Source organism: Homo sapiens, chromosome 5 (assembly GCF_000001405.40).
Source record: "Homo sapiens chromosome 5, GRCh38.p14 Primary Assembly".
In the NCBI taxonomy this organism is placed as follows: Eukaryota; Metazoa; Chordata; class Mammalia; order Primates; family Hominidae; genus Homo; species Homo sapiens.
The window spans coordinates 14,701,512-14,722,271 of NC_000005.10; the positions used below are offsets into that span (position 1 = coordinate 14,701,512).

Below are 20,760 nucleotides of genomic sequence, written 5' to 3' on the forward strand. Positions count from 1 at the left end.
AGGACCCCATTTCAAGCTTTGAGTATTACAACCCCCTGCCCCAGAAGGAGTGGGACTCAGTGTCGCTCTCTGCAAAGAAACCATCTCTACAAATTCTTTTCAAATATCTACTCTTGGTACTTTTTTGCCCTCCTCGTGTTGAGGGATGGCAGAGTCAGGGAGTTCAGACTCCTGCAGAAGGAGGCCGGGTGCCATCAGGAGTCCCCGTTTGGTGTGGCCGCCTTCTCTTTGGTGTGAGTGTCGTCCTCTCTGGCTGGGTTCTTATTTTCTACATGTAGCTCAGGCGTAAGCTGGTGCCCACCCGTGTTAAGTGTCAGGCTGGTCCTGAAGCAGCCCAGTGCCTACAGTGAGGAAGGACCTGCCGGGCAAAGCAGGGCGCTCATCAGGCCAGGGTTTCTAGAACCATATCCCAGGCTGCTGAGAATGGGTGTGTGGGTTGTGTGATGCAGAATTCTAGGAGATGTCATTTCCATCATAGTCTAGGGAAACACTCGAGCCTCGTGGAGGGAGATGGTTCTGGAGGGAGGCTTCTGTAGCATCCAAGCCCAAGGTGAGCAGGAGCCCCCTGAGCCGAGCTGCTGGGACTGAAGAGGAAAAGGAGAGAGTGGGAGTGAGATGCTAGGAGGCAGCGCTGATGGCGCTTGGGGACTTGACTGAGAGGAGTGGGACATGGAGTGGGTTTCCGGGTGGGTGCTCCTGTGACTCCTCTAGATGGGGGAGACAGGAGAAAATGTGGAAGGGGTAAGGAAAGAGTGTACAGGGATGGGCTGAAGGCCACAGCCCTTCTCGGCCCCTGGGGAGATGTTGGGAGGTGACTGGATACACCCAGTGACTGGTCTGAAGCTTGGGAACAAGTTAGGGCTGGAAAAACAGACTTGGGCATCACCGCTGTATTTGGAGCTGGAAATAGGCCCAGATTAGGAACCTGGGCTTGTGAGGACTGGATTCCCAGCGAAGGTGGAATTGGGCCTGCCAGCCATTTGTATACTTTTCTGAAGAGCATGGAATTAAATAGCATTGGGCAGGTTGGCACTGGGGGAAAGAAGAACCGGGCGAGGTTAGGACGTGGCCTTGCTGGCATGATAAAAAGCATGAGGAAACGCTTTTTACCTCAGACCACACGTGAATTGCAAGCAGCTGCCCTGATGGTGCCATCAGGGGCGGTGGAGATACAGGCCGCTCTCCTCAGCCATTTCCTTTAGACCAAGAGAGCTTTTATTGTGTAGCAGATGAAAGACCCGATGAGAATTTGAGGTGTATAGTATAATGTAAAGTTTGGAAATAATGATTGTACTTGTTAATTCTGTATTGGTCTTTGGAATCAAGGGTTTCTGAACCTGAGATAAGCAGCTTTTTTGTTTCATAAAAGCTCTAGTCATTTTTCTGTGTTGAAAGTGGACCACAGTAATGTTCATGGATTTGTTGGCTGAAGCACTTCCATGTGGCTTAGAAGCTTAGCAGACACGGCACCTCCGCCTTTGTGAACTGTCATTGGCCACTCTGCAAATCCTGGTGGTGCAGTAGTTTAGAACTGTGTAGAAAAGATCTGGTTGTAGAGGACAGGAGGCTGATCCAGAGGCGTCTAGTCACTTGCCTGAATCACAGCTAAAAAGCAGCAGACAGAATGAGGACTCACAGCTCCTGATTTATTTTTTCCTTTTGTTTAAAGCCCAGTGTATTGAACTGGGCAGTCAGCATGGTATTTACTGTTTTATATTGTCCAGGTAAGAAACCTGGAGCTTATTGGGAGCAGAATTACAAATATAAGCAATGCCAACCTTCCCTGCACCTTAGCATTACCTTTAATAGTGTCAAAAAAAAAAAAAAAAAAAAAAAAAAAAAAAAAAAAAAACTTAGAAGGAGGCATAGTTTTCTCCACAGTTTTTGAGAAATTCTCCACGATTTTTCTCCTGAGCTAAGCCAGTGAGACCACAGAGGATAAAGAGGAAGGCGTGGAAGGCAGAGATACCAGGGGGCAGGGCTTGGTGGGACTCCACTGGCGGTGGGGGGTTGAGGAGGAGGTTTCCAGGTGGGAGGTAAATGTGCCTCCTCTAGATGGAGATGTCAGGGGAAAGCATGGGTTGGGGACGTAGATTTGCCCCTTGTGGTATTAAGAGTACCACTCCCCACAGGGACAGTGAATGATGCTGGGGCCAGCGCAGCTCTGTATTGTCTTTAAGGCAACCAGGAACTGAACATACTTGACCCGATAGCTAGGCCTGACCCTATGCCATGGACATGGCATAGCCCATGCACTGTGGCCGGGAGCACAGCTCTGAAGCCTTCAAAAACATGGTTGGTGTTAGAGGTAGTAAGAGAGAAGCACAGTGGAGGTAGGACTGAGATCTGGGATTTTAACAAAAGGAGCAGTAAGGAAGGAAATAGGCAATCCCAAGCGAGTCTGTAGGATGCCTAGAATCTTACTGACTACAGGTATGTAATGAAACACTTTCTACAATGTCTTATGAGGAGCTAAAAAAAATTAGAGCCATCTTTCTTTGAGGTTAAAACATGATGCTTTAAGAAAAGAGTGATGCTGGCCGGGCGTGGTGGCTCACGCCTGTAATCCCAGCACTTTGGGAGGCAGAGGTTGGCAGATCACAAGGTCAGGAGATCAAGACCATCCTAGCCAACATGGTGAAACCCCGTCTCTACTAAACATACAAAAATTAGCTGGGCGTGGTGACGTGTGCCTATAGTCCCAGCTACTCGGGAGGCTGAGGGAGGAGAATCGCTCGAACCCGGGAGGCAGAGGTTGCAATGAGCCGAGATTGCGCCACTGCACTCCAGCCTGGGCAATAGAGGGAGACTCCGTCTCAAAAAAAAAAAAAAAAAAAAAAAAAAGTGATAAAAGAGTAATGCTTTTCCCATAAAGACTAAGAAGAGTAAGAATCTCTTAGATGTGGGCAGGAGGATTGTCGGGCTCTGTCCTTCTCAGGCTCACCAAACACTTGCTTCATTTTGGCATTCCCATTTGAGAAGGTGTATAGAGAAGTTGGAGAGGGTTCAGAGAAGCATTTTCATTACTGAAGTTTTGGGAAGTAAAAGTAATTTTAATGCAGAATAAAATCTGAAGAAATAGGTTATATTTAAGTAAGACAGGGAGTTTAGAGAAATTTCCCAGTGGTTAGAAGTTTTAGCAACCAAGGGAAAGGGCAAAATGTTAATCTCTCAGGTAAATTTGATTAAAAGGGAAACTGTAATCAGGATTAGGAAACCAAGTAACTTTGCGGTGAGTAAACAGATGCATGGTTAGAATAAAAAAAAATCAAGAAACTAAAAGCAATCTCAGTTGTATGCCAAGTGTTTAAGCTTTACTTAAAGTAAAATTAGAGTATGAAACCTATTTGACAATATATGAATACAAATCCATAAACCCTGAAACAAAGCATATATAAATGCTCTTACCAATGCAAAAACTTCCATCTGTTAGATACATAAAGAGCACTTCCTTAAAAGCGACATGTATTTTATACTGACCGCTGTAGTCAATTTTAATCAAAAACTACACAAATATTTTATTTGTATTTTAGAGACGGGGTTTTGCTCTGTTGCTCAGGCTGGATTCCAACTCCTGTGCTTAAGCGATCCTCCTGCCTCAGCCTCCCAAGTAGCTGGGACTACAGATGCACACCACTGTGCCCAGCTAAATATTTTAATGTGATTGGTTTCAACAGTTTATACCCACAGTTTTGATGTGAAACTGACAAACCTATGGGCTGACAGCCACAGCCCATGTAGAGGAATGACTCTAAGCACACTTAATTTTGTTTAAAAAAAAAAAAATCTAGATCACTGCTAATGTTCAGATCTGAAATGAAGAATGAGGTGATTTTATTCTTCCATTGTAGGATCTCATACGACGTTCTAAATCCTAGATCATAAACAGAATGTTAGATCAGGAAGGGGCCTTAGCAATAATGGCTCAAGCCTCCCATTGGACAGATGAGCAAGGTGAGGCCAAGAAGCGTGAGTGATATGGAAGCCTCCAGCTTGAATACACTTCTTAAATGAATGAGTGTCGGCATGGAACAGAATCACGTGTGTGGCTCTTGTCCACTTTCCCGAAGCCCTTTGATTAACTCCTTGGCCCTACTAGCTTTAGACAGTTCCCTGATCAGTACATCATTAAGCAACCAAAATATCTCATTAAATCCAAGGAGCAGCGTATTTGCCACTGCAAGGCTTGTGGATGTGGCAGCCCTGGGGTAAGGGACCTGCTGCACGGTGACATGACCATCGCTGTGGGGTGCTGGGTGATTGGTGTTGATGTGTACCCTGTACTCCTTTGTTACGCAAGGGTGGTTTGAACTTAGCTTTCAGTAGCTGTTTCATTCAAACCGTGGGTCCCTGCATGTTCATGGCCCCACACTTCAGGGAACCAGCATCTACCCGGTTGTAATGTTCCCCTAATGTTCCCCAACTCCAGAGGCGCCATTTCTTGCCCTGGCTTATAGCTAGGGAACATTGCCTCTAAATCTTATAGTGAGAATTTCCATGAGGTTGTACAGTGAGTGGTACAACCATTTTTAGCTGGTCTGTCCCCTTCTTTAACCTAAGGAAACCACTTAAACTCTTGGAGAGAGAAAGGGTGCCTAGTTCTTGTGTGCTTTTGTTTACATATACATATTGTAGACGCTAATGTCAAGTCTTGTTAGTAAAGTGCACTTTAAGTTATGTAGCCTAACTTAAAAACAGGTACTATATAAAAAAAATTTGCTGAATCTATGTGTAGCTGACAGCCACCTATAAAAGTGCATATATCTTATGCAGTCTTTTAGAGATCCTGGTTGATTGCAAATGAAGCAGAGAAAAACATTATCACTAAAATGAAATATTTTAAAAGATACTGGCTATAATTCTCCTGGAACCACTTGGACTTGACAGAGGTTTTTCAAAAATGATTTAGGAGGCCCACCTTTGATGCTCTTCCCAGCAGAAAGTTGCAAGTTAATAGATTTAATGTCCACTCTTGAGAAGAAAATAAAGTCTAAACTTAAGGTCTTATCATCTCGTTTTTCCCTTTTGAGATCAGATAGTATACTATATATTTGTGACTTTTCTGAGTGGAGTTTGGGTTATTTTGATTCCACAATGCAATTTCTCTCATTTTGAACATTTGCATGATTTTAGACATTTTGCCTTTAAAAGGGCAGGCAACAGGCCCTTTTACGTTTCTCATCAGATTTTTCTCTACATCCTGTTTTAAGTGTGATTAGATCAGTTGATGAGTCACATGATGTTTTTTGCTGCTTCAATGACAGAAATAGAGATTCAAAATAACCACACAGAGGAGTATCCCAGACACGTTGCTCAAAAACATGCTTTCCTACGGTTTGAGTGCTTTATATGAGAGCCATCAGAGGACTGTGTGTGAGGGCGATGTCTACAGAATGCAGGCAGGAGCTGCTGGCTTTGAACCGGCTGAATGTGCAATGCAGACATCTCAACACTCCACGTCTTTCAAAGCTCTTCCTCACACTCCACTGCAATTTTGGTTCCAAAGAAAGGTGAGGAGCAGAACTTAGAAGATAAAGGACCCCTTTTTCTGGACTGTGCACTAGTTTGATTGATGAAGACGTCGTCCTAAGTTTAGAAGTCAGCTCACCTGCAAAGCTGGTACTAACCGGCACATGCTGTCCTGGGCACTGTTCTGCTGGGAGTTACTGAAGTAGAAAGATTTTTAAATACAAGAAAATATTTCTCAAGGAAATGTAATTACAACACTATAAATACTTGCTATTTTGTGGAACACACGCACACTCGCACTTCAGTTTGAAGGGGGAAAAAAAAAAACCAGTCAGCTACTGAGTCTTCAAATCGATGTGTTCCTAGAAACCAAGGATATAGAAAAGTTACTCTCCCCCTGCCCCTTCCCTCCAGAAGATCCCCAAATGGGGAACAAGTAAGAGAGCAGAGAGCTGTTAACATTTCACACTTCTTATTCTGAAAATATAAGTGAATAAATTTTGAGAGTTACGATATGTAATGATTATTCCAACCAGGAGAGAGATCCAGAGGGCTGGGAGTGAGCACTCCTGAGCTGGCCCCGCTGCGACGCATCCTGGCGTCTGGAGAACTCAGCCCAACTCTGTCACTACCCTGGGAGCTCCCAGGCCTCCCCATCCTGGGCCCCCCACCCCCTGCACCTCCCAAGGTTATTTATTGGGAAGACTCAGAGAGTGAAGTATAAAGTGCTTTTACTATTGTAAAGAAGCTTTATTTGGCCCCATCTGATACATCCTAAGCCAATATTAAATGTTTCAGTTTCTTAGGGAATCGGCTATCCAGGACATTTCCAAGCCAAACTACCAGCTAATGCTAAAAATCAAGGCAAAGTAAAAACAAAGGAAGAGTAACTTTGGCACAAGACAAACCCGATGCAGGCAGTCATGGGGGATGACTGTTTTTTACCCAGAAATGCAAACAAGTGGCCTTCTGTGCCCCATTTAAAGAATCCCAAACGGGAGAGTTTCCTGCCAATGTGCAAATCCGTCAATACTCCCTGAGCCATGTGGCCGGCAGGTCCAATCCTACCGTGACTTTCCAAGCGCAAGCCTCGTCTAGTTCTTTTTGCTCAGTTGTTGTCTCACTGACGCCCTTTGCCACTGAGATCCCTGTAAGTCACTACAGAACAAATGGCAACTGCACATTTAGGATGACGTCCCTTGTGCTACTCAAACAGGCCACCAAAGGAGGAGCTCTAGAAAACCCTTACTATTTCCTATGCTTTGAGCTGCCCAAACCTATTATTTCTCAGCATCTAAATGAAAAACTACTTCATGGCCTTGTATTTTTAGATTGTATTCATCCACAAGCAATCACTCAGTTTTGGAGAAAGTCACACCTGGTCTTTCCCTGGTCTTTGACATGAGAATCTCACAGGCATGGTAACTTTCTAAAATGCAGCTGTCAGCTGAATGCCCTACAATGAAAAATAAATGTTTTGGGGGAATGTTTCTTTGGTCACAAAAGTCAAAAAGTTGCCCCAATGACTCTGAAAAGTGGGAAGGAGAAAGGTCACCCTCCCTGGTTTGATCTCTCATGTCTAGCTGGATGATGGGACTCGATTAGAAGAAACGCAGGAGAATATGCCAGTTCTCAGTTTTGCCTCAAAGTTGTTAGGCTGTGACTTAAGCAGCCCAAGTGAAGAAAATGTACGAAGAAGGATCACGTGCTTTAAGGTGAAAGGTTTGAACAAGTCCTGCCAAATCAGCTCCATTGTGGTGGCCTGAGTGTGGCATTGCTTCCTGTGTTCTCAGAAACTCTAACCAAATATTATGGCCCACTGATCTTGATCACTGAAGGAATCTCTGGAGTTGTATTTCCTCATCTCATAATGAGGAGGCCCTTGCTGATCCTTCCTGGATTTAGAGGGAAAGGATTTTTTTTTTTTTTGAGATGGAGTTTTGCTCTTGTCACCCAGGCTGGAGTGCGATGGCGCGATCTCGGCTCACTACAACCTCTGCCTCCCAGGATCAAGCAAATTCTCCTGCCTCAGCCTCCTGAGTAGCTGGGATTACAGGTATGTGCTACCACCCCCAGCTAATTTTTATGTTTTTAGTAGAGACAGGGTTTTGCCATGTTGGCCAGGCTGGTCTCAAACTCCTGACCTTAAGTGATCCACCCTCCTTGGCCTCCCAAAGTGTTGGGATTACAGGCATGAGCCACCATGCCCGGCCTGCTTTCTCAGTTTGGATCTTTAAGCTCCAACCCCAGAAGCATGAAAGTCACACATGTTAAAAAATACTGTTTAATTTTCTAGTAATGTCCTTTAAAAAAAGCTGATACATTGAGATTTTTTTTTAATCTTCTCAGATCTGCCTCTGAAACCACTGCAAAGCAGCTATGCAACTTAATTTTTCAGTACTCATATATGTATTAATGGAGGAAAAGCCACTCTGAGGAAGCACGCCAAGGACATGTCCCCACGTGGGCACACCCCATCAGCACTGGGTACCCAGGAATGTGAATGCAACCCTGGCATGTTCACAGCTAACATTATGCCCTTGCATTCTTTTTTGCTGTGAGGAACAATATGATCACACAGCACTGAAAACGGTAGACACAAAGGGCCTGCCTTTTTCTTTCTCATTTTTGCCTTTCCAGCTTGCACTTCTATTCCTACTCCAGTGACCCATTTATTCCCCAGTTACCCATAATGAAAAATAGTTCTGTCATTTACTGAGCCTTACATTCAAATGCAAATGACGGACTTTATAAAACTGCTGCCAATAAGGTACAATGTTCATTGATACAATACGTTTCAACTGCAGGTATGTTGAGCACACAAGCAATCACCGTATTGTATTAGAGACATTTTATTGAAAATGCGAAAATAGGAAATGTATTATAGCCTAAAATAAATTACATAACATATACAGCATATATTTATATCTTTAAAATATTTTTTTTTTTAGGTTCTTTCAGTCTAGGAATTCTGACTAAATCAATTTAGTGAACCGTGTCTATAATTTTTTTAAAGGAAAAAACCTGCTTTCCAAAACTTAGAAAAATATACTGCACTGCATGGATTTCGAATGCGTTATTTCAGGGAGGACCACATAGTGACTCTGGTATCGTTATAAAATGTCTTGCTTTATCGTATGGTGTGGGAGGGAAGTACCGTAGTACATTCTCAATTACCTGTACCGCAGAGTTATGACTAAGGATAGCAGAACCAGGTAATATATCTACTTCAAAAGTTACCCTACAGCAACCTGGCATTAGAATGCTGGATGAGACTTAAAGCTTCAGTTCACTGTAAAAACTAAAATGCAAAGTTAGGATGCTCCATGTGACTCGCTCTAATGCGACCTTCAGGAAAGGCGAGGGAAAAGCAAGCCTTCAGGAAAAGTCATGCGGCAGGGTCTGGAATCTGGAGATGCGCTTTTGTGACAATTTAAAAAAGTTAGCTCATGTATATACACGGTGGGGGTGAGAACTGACAGCTTGCTCAGATCTAGGAGAACGCAGAGTGAAATGCTATCATTCAACCATGTCAGTTTGCTGCCCCCGGGGCATTTCAAACCAAACCTTTCTACGGGAGATTCTGTCCATCTGTCAGCCTGCTGTGGTCACAGGTCTCCGTTCCTCAGTGTGAACGGGGACTCCGGGCTGCAGCGTGCCACCCGCCTCCTGCATGTGTGGAGTAGATGGTTTCGAACTCCGTGGCGGAAGGGAAATTTAAGAGGCCACCGGGGCTCCATCTCTTTGTACGGCCATGTGACTGGGAAGCAAATCAAAGGAAGCCGAGTTTTAACCTGTTGATTCTTAAGAGCGATGAAGGGGGACAGGAGAGTCTGTGGCCTGCTGTGCAGGGTGACCGAGGCGCGATGGCACAGCTGCAGTCCTTTGGTTCCAAGAGGAGATTGTCCAGGGGAGGAGGACACAACGTCAACCGTGAGGCAGCTGTGTCTTTTGGGTTTTCGTGAGGCAGGGGTATGAAGTCAGTTGTTTCGTTTGTTTTTACATAGCAACAGTAAAGACCATTCACTAGGTCCCCCCGTCAGTGTGAGCATACCCAGTATGCTAGAGAATTGACACGAAACCTTTAAATCAAGGCCTCTTTCATTACCAAAACAAAACAAAAAAAAGGGAACAAAATACGATGGGAGAGGGAAGAGATGATGCCGAAGTGTCATCCTGACTGACTGTCCCTGCAGTGCCCATGGCGTCCCGTGCCTTATTCATTCTCCTCTCTCATTTCCACGATGTCTGTCACCTCCTCTGTCGGAGGCATGTCTGTCATGGCAGAGTCTTCCCCCTCCGTGGCCGACTCATTCTCCATCTTCTTTTTCTAGACCAAAGAAGACTCATCAGTGTGGGGCTGTGGATGGGGACACTGCACAGCAGAACCACGAGCAGGGAGACAACACCGGGGTCTTGGGGGACCCCTCACTGTAGGCTTAAACCTTCTTATGGTTGGGGTGGCGTCACCTCTTTTGCATCTTAGCTCAGTGTGTTCCTTGCAGTTTGGTTGTCTGTGTGCCTGCTGTGTGCCTGGCACTGAGCTAGGCAGGCACTTCGGAGGACACCATGTCCCACTGCCCCGCCCCAGACAACCCGCTCCCTGCTGCCCTTTCCAATGAGGGCTGCGCTCTCCCCGACTCCTCACAGTCACCTGTAGACTGCTTCTCCTTCCTCCTCCCTAAAGCCTCAAGCTTGGAATCTCACATTATCAAAATATTCCACCTTGTACAGCATCCGTCAGTCACCTCTGGGACAGCTCCAGGCTTGCCGTCATTCTCTCCCACTTACTGCCTGTCCTAGTTCCTGGTCACTTCCCTGCCATGTTGCCTGTTCTTACAATAAATGGCCTCTCAGGGATCAGGTTCTCAGCCCCAGCCCCACCTCAGCCACTGCTGGGTCACTGCAGACCTTGCCATTATCGACACACCAACAGGCCAAGGCAAGGACATTGTCCTCTGTCTGCCAACCCCGCTGGTCCCCCATCCACGGATCCCACCAACCCTTCATTGTGGCCACCTTTTCGATGTCCTGTCTCCCCTCTTTCCTCAGCTTACATGACATGCTCAGTAATGACCATCATTTCCCTACCCTGCTTTTCTTTCATTATATTTGCCAGGCAAAGCCCCAGCTGTGCTGAGGTTCAGATCTCTACCATCTCAGCCCACACCCCTCAGCTGCCATGGCTGGGGAAGCCCAACCGCAGGGGACAGCCAGTGTCCTGAGATGCACGTCACGCACCGTGAGCAGGCTCTCTGAGTGGCCTGGCCGTCACTCTGCTGCCCCGGCCTGTTCACTCTGCTACTCTCTTGACCAACTGTTTCCCCACCCATGTGTCCTCGTTCTTCCACCCTCATATACCTCCCTTTTCTCAGACAATGATGTGGCTTCCTACTTCACTGAGAAAAACAAAAGTGATCAGAAGGGCCCTTGCGCAAGCTCTCGGACTGCATCTCTGCTCCGCCCATGACCAGAGAGGCTGCCCGAGCTCCTGTCTTGGACTGCCCAGTCCTTGTGTGCACAGCCACATTGGTATCACTGTCCCCTCTCCCATCGGCAGCATCGCATGTCTGCGGGTCATTCCCCAAAGCAAGCCATAGGCTGAATTTCGCCCCATCTACGCTGGCTTTCTGAAATCCATGTCCACACCTCTCTCCCCTTTGGCGCAAAACTCTTCAAAGGGACTGTCTGTACTTGCTGCCTTCAGCTTTTCCCCTTTTTTCTTACCCCACTCCCATTAGGCTTCCAGCCACCCTAAGCCACGAGACTGGGCAGTGTCACCAAGGATCCCCCACTGACGAACGCCACCATCCAACCTGGTCAGTGGCTGCTCAGGTTCTCCTGCACCCAGGAGGATGCACCCGGGAGGAGGCTCCCGGCGCGGCTGTCTCACCTGCTTCCGGTAGACATAGCACGCAGCGATGGCGACCATGGTGGATTCTCCCACAAAGCCCGCCAGGAGGGAGCCCACGCCCAGGGTCGCACCGTGCACCCTGCAGATGAGAACACAAAGGCAATTTGTCTGTTAAGGCCAAGTCAAGGCACAACCGTCGATGCCAAAACCCAGGAAAGTAAGTGTAGCCTCGAGACGGCTGAGACCAGCGGCGTTCTCCATCTGCTGGCTTCGTAAGGGCCGCAGCTAATAACCTAATGTGTGAGGGGAACCAGGAACTCGGGGCTGGGCCACCTCCCTCCCACAGCACATGGATCCCACAGCCCTTCCCACCCTCCCCAGGACGCTGGGAGCTCCCTGAGCGCAGGGACCATGTCCTTCTCTTCTGGTTTTCATGTCCAGCATACGTTCAAGCCCGTGCAGGGCCGGCCATGCCCTGACAGGAGCTCAGTGGCTATTATTCGTGTCTGGGCCTGATTTCAAAAGCACTTTTCTAAAATGGATCCCAAGAGCCTCCACCTGGTGCCTGGGCAGACACACAAAACATCATTCTGAATTTCCGATTCTAGACGTGCCTGGGGATTTCCCCTGAAAATGTAGCTGTTAAACCTCTGGACACAGTATTGAAGTGGCAGAAGGACCCACAGCCCCAAACTCCCTGACAACATACCCCAGGTAGGGTAGGACCACGAGGCTGGCGATGAGGACGATGATCCGCAGCACAGAGCTGGGGGCAAGGACGAAGGTTTTCTTCAGTGTCATCAGCCACCCGGTGAGATGCGCCCTCACTGTGACTGTTGGGAGGAGCAAAGGACTCGTCAGCCGTGCCCGCCATCCACTCCCCATCCTGCTGCCTCTGGACCAGGGCAGCACATCCGAGAGCCAGGGGCTGCCTAGGACCCTGGCCTTGCTGTTGAGCCGCTGGCCACCTCATCTTCCTGCCAGGGTTCCCCATCCCTGCTCCTGAGCCTAGGCCCGCCTCGGCTCCCCGCCTCCTCACAGCCCTTTGGATCTAAATGGCTGGGACCAGGCAGGCTCCTTTCTCCACTGGGACAGCATCTTCCAGGCAGCCTAGCTGCTCTTGTCCAGTCCTGTCCCCACACTTGGCCAGCCTCGCCCTCTGATCATCTACCTCTAGAAGAGAACACTCAGAGAAAAGTGGCACTCTAGTGTGATGCTGCGTGAGCAGAAAAGCTGGCATCAGAAGCCATCTTCCCTGCCTGCGGTCAGAGGTGTGGGGACCAAGCAGTGGGGTAGGAGGAGGAAGCTGCTCGTCCCCACTTCCCTCTGTTCTTTCCCTGGACTGGTCCTGACCACTTCCACCGAGGTCACTTCCCTTTCTCCCTCCTAATGGTGTGGGCCCTCGTTGGTGTGCTGCCATTTCACCAAGGGCTGCATGGCCTGCCCATGCCTGCCTCTTCACTGGATCTCTGAGCTGCAGGAGGGCCATGGGTGGACAGCGGGGAACTGTGGAGAGCACGGGGCTTGCCCTTGTCAGTAGGAAGGCCCTGAGCATCTAGATTCCATCTGAAACTGGAAAGGCTTGAGGACGCGCAGGGCAGGGCCTGGGCCTTGAAGAGAGGGCCTGTTAACCTCCCTGTGGACAGCACCAGGCAAGGGCTCTTGGAGGAGGAAGTGCTCATTCCTGGGATAAAAATTCCTTTCCAGGATATGCTGGTTTGGAAGGAAGTCTTTGCCGTCTTCTTGGTCTAACAGTGTGTCCTGCCTTCCTCTGGGTGGAAGCCTTATATTAATACTAACGAGGCTAATTTTCTTCTCTTAGGCAGGCAGACAGACCCACTGAGGTTTTTGACCAAAGGAGAGAGTCAGGATCCCAGGCATATGCTAAACTGGTTGGCCCAAATCCAACAGATTGCAAAGAGTGGCAGGGCCTGGCAGCTGTCTGGAAGCCCTTCATCTTACAGACAAGGAAGTGGTGTCAAATGGACAGTAAAGGTGAATCACATACTCAGCTATAGCCTGCTCCCAGCTGGGGCACTCCAGGCCCCTCCTCTGGTCACTACTGTAGAAATTAACTGCATGTGTCTCAATCTGCGAGTGCAGCTGCTTCTAGATGGTGGCACCTTCCAGAGCTTGGTTCGCCCTGTGTCTACCCAACAAGTACAGATGCCATCCCGGTGCTGTGATCTTCCAGCCATTTCTCCATTTCTGTCACAGCCCAGAAAGTGACGCCGCAAGGCCTTAGAGCAAGGGCCGTTCCATCAGCCCTGGCCTACCTGGGGCTCCATGGCTCCTTTCTTTTTCTTTTTGTTTTGAGACGGAGTTTCACTCTTATTGCAGAGGCTGGAGTGCAGTGGTGCAATCTCGACTCACTGCAATCTCTGCCTCCTGGGTTCAAGCGATTCTCCTGCCTTAGCCTCCTGAGTAGCTGGGATTACAGGCATGCGCCACCACGCCTGGCTAATTTTTTGTATTTAGTAGAGACGGGGTTTCACCATGTTGGTGAGGCTGGTCTCGAACTCCTGACCTCAGATGATCCACCTGCCTCGGACTACCAAAGTGCTGGAATTACAGGCATAAGCCACTGCGCCCGGCCCATGGCTCCTTTCTTAACATTGTGGCTTTGTAGATTCTGGCTTTCCAGTTTAATGATTTAGGTGGATCTTTTGGGGAAACCGATTTTTGACTAGGTGACACACCTGGTACAGAATTTAAAAGATACAAAAGGGAATAGAATACAAAGGTCTTCTTCCCAGTGGTGACTTCCCAGGCCCTTGTCCTGCTTCCCACAGGCAACCACTGTTAGCAGCTTGGTGAGTTACTTATACAAAAAGAATGTAGCTATGCAAGCAGTTAGCACATCCATATGACGATACAGACATACACGTGCTACATATTTGCTATGGAAATGGTTGTATACTAATCAACCATTCTGCAACCTGCTTTTCTGATTTAATCTAGAACAACCTCATTCTTGTGTATAGTACACCTCACACCACTATATTGGCTTGGTATAATAACTTTCCAACTGGCTTTTGTCTCAGCCATGGGCAGTTTCTTTTCTGACCATCCATCTGGCCTCAGGTTCCCCTGGAGTCTTCCTTTCTCCAGCAGTCCTTCTCTGTCTTTGTATATCTCCAGGCTTTAGCAATACGCTCACTCTATTTTTCTTTTTTTGATTTCACTTTTTAAATTAAAGTATTGTAAAACTGGCTTTTTGGTGCACAGTTTTGAGAATTTCAGTACATGAACACATTTGTGTTCCCACCACCACAATCAAGACAGAGGGCCGTTTTATTGTCCCCAAAGCTCCACATGCTATCCTTTCAGGTCTACTTCCTTTTTACTGTTTTTGTAATCACTGCACTTTTAAAAACAAGTTGTACGCCAGGTGCAGTGGCTCACGCCTGTAATCCCAGCACTTTGCCGAGGAGGAGCACTTGAGGCCAGGAGTTCAAGACCAGCCTGGACAACATGGTGAAACCCCGTCTCTACTAAAAATACAAAAATTAGTTGGGTATGGTGGTGGGTGCCTGTAGTCCCAGCTACTTGGGAGGCTGAACAGGAGAAGTGCTTGAACCCGGGAGGCAGAGGTTGCAGTGAGCCGACATTGTGCTACTGCATTCCAGCCTGGGTGACGGAATGAAACTCTGTCTCCAATAAATAAATAAATAAATAAATAAAATAAAAAGTTATACTGTTTGATTCATTTCTTGAACTTTTAACCTACTGGCTAATGTTTTTGCATCTTTCTAAGCCACAGTGAAATTTTACATTTGTGTTGGTGACATAATTGCAAACATTTCCAAAGAAAGATTTAATTAGGCATGAGGATAAACAGGAATGCTTCCTTCATTCTGTTTTTCTTTACCTGGAACTGGGAAGAAGGAGAAGATCCGCAAAGGAACAACACAGAGTTCTGCAAAGGCAAAGTCCACTCCGATGATGTCTATCAAGATTTTCTCAGACACGTTGGGTGTCCAAAACATCACGAAACAGAGCTGGGGAGAAAGACATCAAACAGGGTTGTGAGGAAAAAGTGTAAGCAGGTGAAATGAGCAGATCAGGTGTGGCACAATCCTTGGAGAGTTACGAAAGAGGGACAACCGGCCTGACTGGGTGGTGGGCATGCTGGTCCCAGATCTGCCACCTGCTTGCTTGACTCTCTTCTGACCACAGAGGCCCTGGTCCATTAGCCATGTCTGTACCCAGGGGACCCCCACGGCAGAGCAGATGTGGCTCCTCCAAGAGTGGGTCATTTATTTCTGAGTGGGTGAGCAGACCCGTTCAGAACCAGTGTGCTTTGGGGCAAGGGTTAAGGAGAGTGCCAAACAGCTCAGCCAGTTCCACGTGGACATGTTTATTCATATAATTTTTACAGCTTTAACAAGCAATAAAAAAAGACCTGAAAGTACTTGGATGTGTACAGAACCACGCAGAATCAGCACACATAATGAAAAGGGAAATATTAGTATTTAGAGTAAGGATCAGCCTATGAACCTTTCAAAGTCTAGTTAAGAGAATAAAAGATGAGACAGCAACAGAATGTGGAACTCTGGAAAGCAGATGGGCAGATGGTAAACTGATGTAACAGACACAGGAAAAGGGAATCTTGAACCCGATGGGGAAAGTGGAGCTCTCTCCCCACCTCCCTTCCCCACAGATCAGAAAGTGCGGCACAGGTCCTTCCAGAGACAGGGTGAAGGCAGGGTCCAGAGCAGGATGGCTGGAAGTCAAGTTAGTAAGCAATCCATCCACAGCTCCCCTTGCGCAGCTGGTGACTACATCTCCCCGAATTTGACAGGAAACAGGAGGTTAGTCTCTGGATGAGGTAAAACAGAGGGGTACCTGGCATGGCCCAGGGCAGAGTTACTACAGGTTGAGTAACCCTTATCTGAAATGCTTGGGACCAAAAGTGTTTTAGATTCTGAATTTTTCAGATTTTAGAATTTTTGCATTATACTTACAGGTTACACATCCCTAATCCCAAAATACAAAGTCCAGAATGCTCTGATAAACATTTACTTTGAGAGTCATGTCAGCGCTCAAAAGTTTCAGATTTTGGAGCATTTTGGATTTTCGATTTTTGGATGAGGCATACTCAATCTGTACATGGAAAACGGGGGAATTAAGAGAAGGATGACATTTGCATGTTCGGGCTTCTTTCCTCTTCTACGCTCCCAGAACATGGGAAACTGGTTGAGTCCTTCCCAGGTAGGTGACTGGAAATGGTCTCTGAGGAATCTGACCAGCCCAAGAGAAAAGACGTAAAGTTCCTGAAAATTAGAGTCTCCCAATGAAGCAGCCGCACTTGAGCAGCCATCAGTGAGGCCCTCGCAGGTGAGAAACCCCATCCTGGTGTTTACAGCTTCCAACCAACTACTAGTCTCCAGATAAGGTAAAATGGGGTGGGGTGGGGGGTACCTGGTTGAGGGCAGAGTTACTACAACTAGTAACTAGTGCCCCACTTACCAAAATGAGCAGGCAACCAGGAAACCAGACTTTGACAAAGGCCTCCAATGTGAGGAGGTCAAAACTATGGAAAAAACTACAACTTAAGAGGAAACAAAGATAATACAGAAAGAGAGAAGGGAAAAAAAAAACTTTTCTCCACTGATATCCCCAGAGAAATGGGAGAAGACACTGCACCCATGAAACAAGAACAGAAGGAGAATGTTATAAAAAAGACATTCACGCCAGACGCTTTGGCTCATGGCTGTAATCCCAGCAGTTTGGGAGGCTGAGGCGGGCGGATGACCTGATGTCAGGAGTTCGAGACCAGCCTGGCCAACATGGAGAAACCCCGTTTCTACTAAAAATACAAAATTAACCGGGCATGGTGGTGCATCTCTGTAATCTCAGCTACTTGGGAGGCTGAGGCAGGAGAATCGCTTGAACCCGGGAGACGGAGGTTGTGGTGAGCTGAGATGGTGCCACTGCACTCCATGCACTCCAGCCTGGGCAACAAAAGCGAAACTCCATCCTCCCAACACCACCCCCCCCCCAAAAAAAAAAGACATAGAAAAAGATAAAAGCAGAAAGGAAAATTCACAAGTTAGCAGTAAGATAAGTTTAGGGAAGCCTACCACAGAGACAGAGCAGAAGGATGAAGGCATGCAAATGAAGCACAGGAGAAGAGAGTTAAAGAAACAAAGTCCAACACCCAAATAATAGGAGTTCTGGAAAGAGGGGACAGCGGACGTCTCAGACTGAAAGATACCAGTTTCAGGACTGAAAGGGCCCATCCGGGGGAGGTGGTGCAGTGCATGGGAAAAGCCCCATCAGGGCACGTCACTGAACACAACTGGGGACACAGCTTCCTATGAGCTTCTGGCCTCAGGCTTCTCAATAGCACTGAAAGCTAGAAGACAAGGAGCAATAAGTTTTGAAGGCGGATGATTTCTACCCTAGAACTCTAAACCAAACTATCACTCAAGTGTGTTTAAAAGAAAAATATTTTCAATATTCAGGGCCTCAAAAGTTTTACCTCTCATGCACACTTTTTCAAGAAGCTATTGGTGACGGTTGCTTTGCCAAGGCAAGTGAGCCATGGAGTGGAAAAGAGCAAGGCATGGGTGAAGCACAAGACAAAAGCCAGGGAAATCTCTGGGGTGGAGGTGAAGGCTGCGATAGGCCCACAGGTCAGCTGATCTTCCCTGGAGCAGGGAGAAAAAGGCTCCGAGAGATGCTAACTACCTAATGTGCTTGAATACTTGAAAAGCGATTTACACCACGAAGGGAAAATGTGGGAATAACTTAGTGTGAAATACACAGAAGGCTAAGAAAGATGATAATTGACAATTATTAAGTCCAGGAAAAATTAAAGTTGTTTGAGAAAGGAAGGGAATCAGGGCTCAGCGTCAGAGTTTATCGTAGTCACAATCCATCAAGAGTTGGGGGTGCCTCTCGGAGTAGGAAAGGGACAGGGTGGAAGTGAGCAGCACTGAAGAGGTGGGCTGGGGACATGGCTACTGTGAGTTACAATCCTTACAGAGCTGACTTGGAAAACTTGGTGCTAACTTTAAAAACCTGAATTTTAAAATCCAACAACATAACTTTGGAAGATCCTGTTAAAAACTTGACAGTTTCATCAAATATTTATCTCCTTTTCTTAAAATGCAAGTGATTCTTCTCTACAATAAAACTGAATACATTCTAAAATGAATTAAGAACAGAACACTAAAATTTTAGAATATAACATTCTTTTAGGCTCTGAGTACACTAAGTTTCATGGAATTAGCCAAGCTCTATTTACTATGTCATGTTGAAATATTAAAAAAAAAATACACTGGAGATCTATTATAAATATGTTTTGCTTTGTAAGTGCAATAGAGCCATTCCCCTACGTATTTTCTGCATCTGGCAAAGTATATTCCACTGGTTTTCAAAAATGGCAGAGGTACTATCTCATTTAATCCTACTGCTTGATGACAGTACTCACACCCCATCTTTGACATGAAGGAAAAAATACTTCCTTAGATCTAGCAACTTGGAGCTCAGGGACTTTATTACCTGAATGCCCTGGACAAGTGGCCCTGTCATCTTTTCCCACTGCAAAGCTACTAGCCTACAAGGGTGAGACATCGTACACAGTCATAGCCCTGGTATGGTGGCAACTTCACATTACAATTCAAAACAACACTCAGCATGGAGTTGGAACACTATTTCCCTGTCCATATCCCATCCCCACAAATACATGGATCATCCCTGCTTCCAGCTTTGCTTTATATTGGGCCCCCAATATGTCCCATAGCAGTAAAACTGTAAAGAATTGAGCTAAGGGATGACTGCCTTACAGTCTGGGCTGGCTCTGTGCCTTAGAACCTACAGGAAGTAAGCCATTCTGTGTTTATCTAAGGGTTAGAGAGAGACCTAGGCCACATACTACTAAAAACCTTAAGCTTCCAGGGAACCATTAGCATGCTTTACTGATTTTGCAGCCAGCAATGATCTGAATGTGAGATAATGCCTCACACAAATGTTGCAATTCTCTAGGCTTTGCAAAATCATTGTAAAGTGGCTCTTCAGTTACAAGAACCAAGGAAAAAGGAGGGTGTAATTGCACGTCAGAGAGAAAGATGGCGGAAATGGGCCTCTGTGGCAGATGAGCCAGGTAATCCCTGCTCTGGGATCCACAATCGGGTCATGTTCACCCAGAGGCGTTTTCCCATCTTGTAGAAGATCAGAAAACCTTTGGAGCAGTGGGTGGGGGGTCAGCTTGAGGACATGATAGTGAGTGTGCCCACATCACTTGACACATTGACATCAGTATCAGCCAAGCTGTGTAGGTGAGCACAGTTATGGTACCTTGAACACAACCACGAAGTTAAGTAAGGTTTGATGGATTTCCAGTAGGAGCTTCCTGAGATGGTGGCTCAATAGTCCATTTCTAAAATTCCACGGTATGATCCAACCTGGCACCACTCAGTCACTCTGTTTTTTATCTTGGTCTGTGCTGAGCACACCCTAAATGCCCCTTATCATGGCCATGTGCCAACAGAGGTGCTTCTTCAGTTTTCAACCACACACACCTACAGCCCAGACTGGGTCTTCGCGGGGTATCGGAACTGGAAGCGGTTAGTCTGATCTGGGGTTTGAACAATCACAGGTAACTAAAGGAAAGGAACGCCACATTTATCAAAGTCTCCTTTTTCTTCCTCCCTGAAGTCTCTGAAGCTCTTGCTATGCTTCCAGTAGGAAAATGGCGCTTCACTTTTCAGCAAGTTTTTCAACGAGTGGATATTTCTTGCGTATATAACTTAGGTATACATATAACTTAGAAAGGAATACATTTAACTTATAAGTGGATATGGTGAGCTGGGCGTGGTGGCTCATGCCTGTAATCCAGCACTTTGGGAGGCCAAGGTGGGAGGATCACAAGGTCAGGAGATCGAGACCATCCTGGCTAACACGGTGAAACCCCATCTCTACTAAAAATACAAAAAATTAGCCAGGCATGGTGGCAGGCGCCTGTAGTCCCAGCTACTCGTGAGGCTGAGGCAGGAGAATGGCGTGAATCGGGGAGGCGGAGCTTGCAGTGAGCTGAGATCATGCCACTGCACTCCAGCCTGGGCGACAGAGCGAGACTCCGTCTCAAAAAAAAAAAAAAAAAAAAAAAAAGTGGGTATGGTATGTATTAAAAGCTACAATACCTATCTGCAGGTGAGGTTTCCCTAGCTTCCCCTAGGCAAAGTACTGAGCCCTAGCATAATAATCAGACTACATTTAACAAGTCCATTTGAAAAAACAGGACGCTTTAGAAGTTCCCTTGACAAAGAGTATCAGGAACAGTGTCATTTTAATGAGTTCACCCAGAGTAGTCTCAACTCAGAACATGCCTCCCAGTTGACCATGATGTGCTGTGTTCCTCAAATATTTGCAGAGCCTAATGACATTGACTTTTCCAAACCAGCACACACCCCTAATAATCTCCCACC

General features: G+C 46.7%; 2 protein-coding genes and 1 long non-coding RNA gene across 5 annotated transcripts in view; 2 read left to right on the top strand and 1 right to left on the bottom strand.

Moving 5' to 3' along the window:
* Positions 1 to 15,014, top strand: part of OTULIN (OTU deubiquitinase with linear linkage specificity) — a 51,808-nt gene extending 36,794 nt beyond the window's left edge. The window contains exons 8-9 of one of the 2 annotated variants that reach the window (XR_007058658.1): positions 7,427 to 7,525; positions 11,211 to 15,014. The gene's annotated coding sequence lies outside the window, so the exon portion shown is untranslated. The remainder of the gene's footprint in view (positions 1 to 7,426; positions 7,526 to 11,210) is intronic. The other variant, XM_011514151.3, reaches the window with a different exon arrangement.
* ANKH (ANKH inorganic pyrophosphate transport regulator) overlaps positions 3,289 to 20,760 on the bottom strand; it is a 166,979-nt gene continuing 149,507 nt past the window's right edge. For both annotated transcript variants that reach the window (NM_054027.6, XM_017009644.3), the window contains exons 9-12: positions 15,195 to 15,324; positions 12,033 to 12,156; positions 11,363 to 11,462; positions 3,289 to 9,799 (exon numbers count right to left, since the gene is read on the bottom strand). In NM_054027.6, the coding sequence (NP_473368.1) occupies positions 9,686 to 9,799; positions 11,363 to 11,462; positions 12,033 to 12,156; positions 15,195 to 15,324 (468 nt within the window). In that variant the 3' untranslated portion in view covers positions 3,289 to 9,685. The remainder of the gene's footprint in view (positions 9,800 to 11,362; positions 11,463 to 12,032; positions 12,157 to 15,194; positions 15,325 to 20,760) is intronic.
* On the top strand, positions 11,183 to 15,018 carry LOC100130744 (uncharacterized). The gene is made up of 2 exons (NR_046285.1): positions 11,183 to 13,673; positions 14,911 to 15,018. It is a non-coding gene; the product is annotated as an uncharacterized LOC100130744 (long non-coding RNA).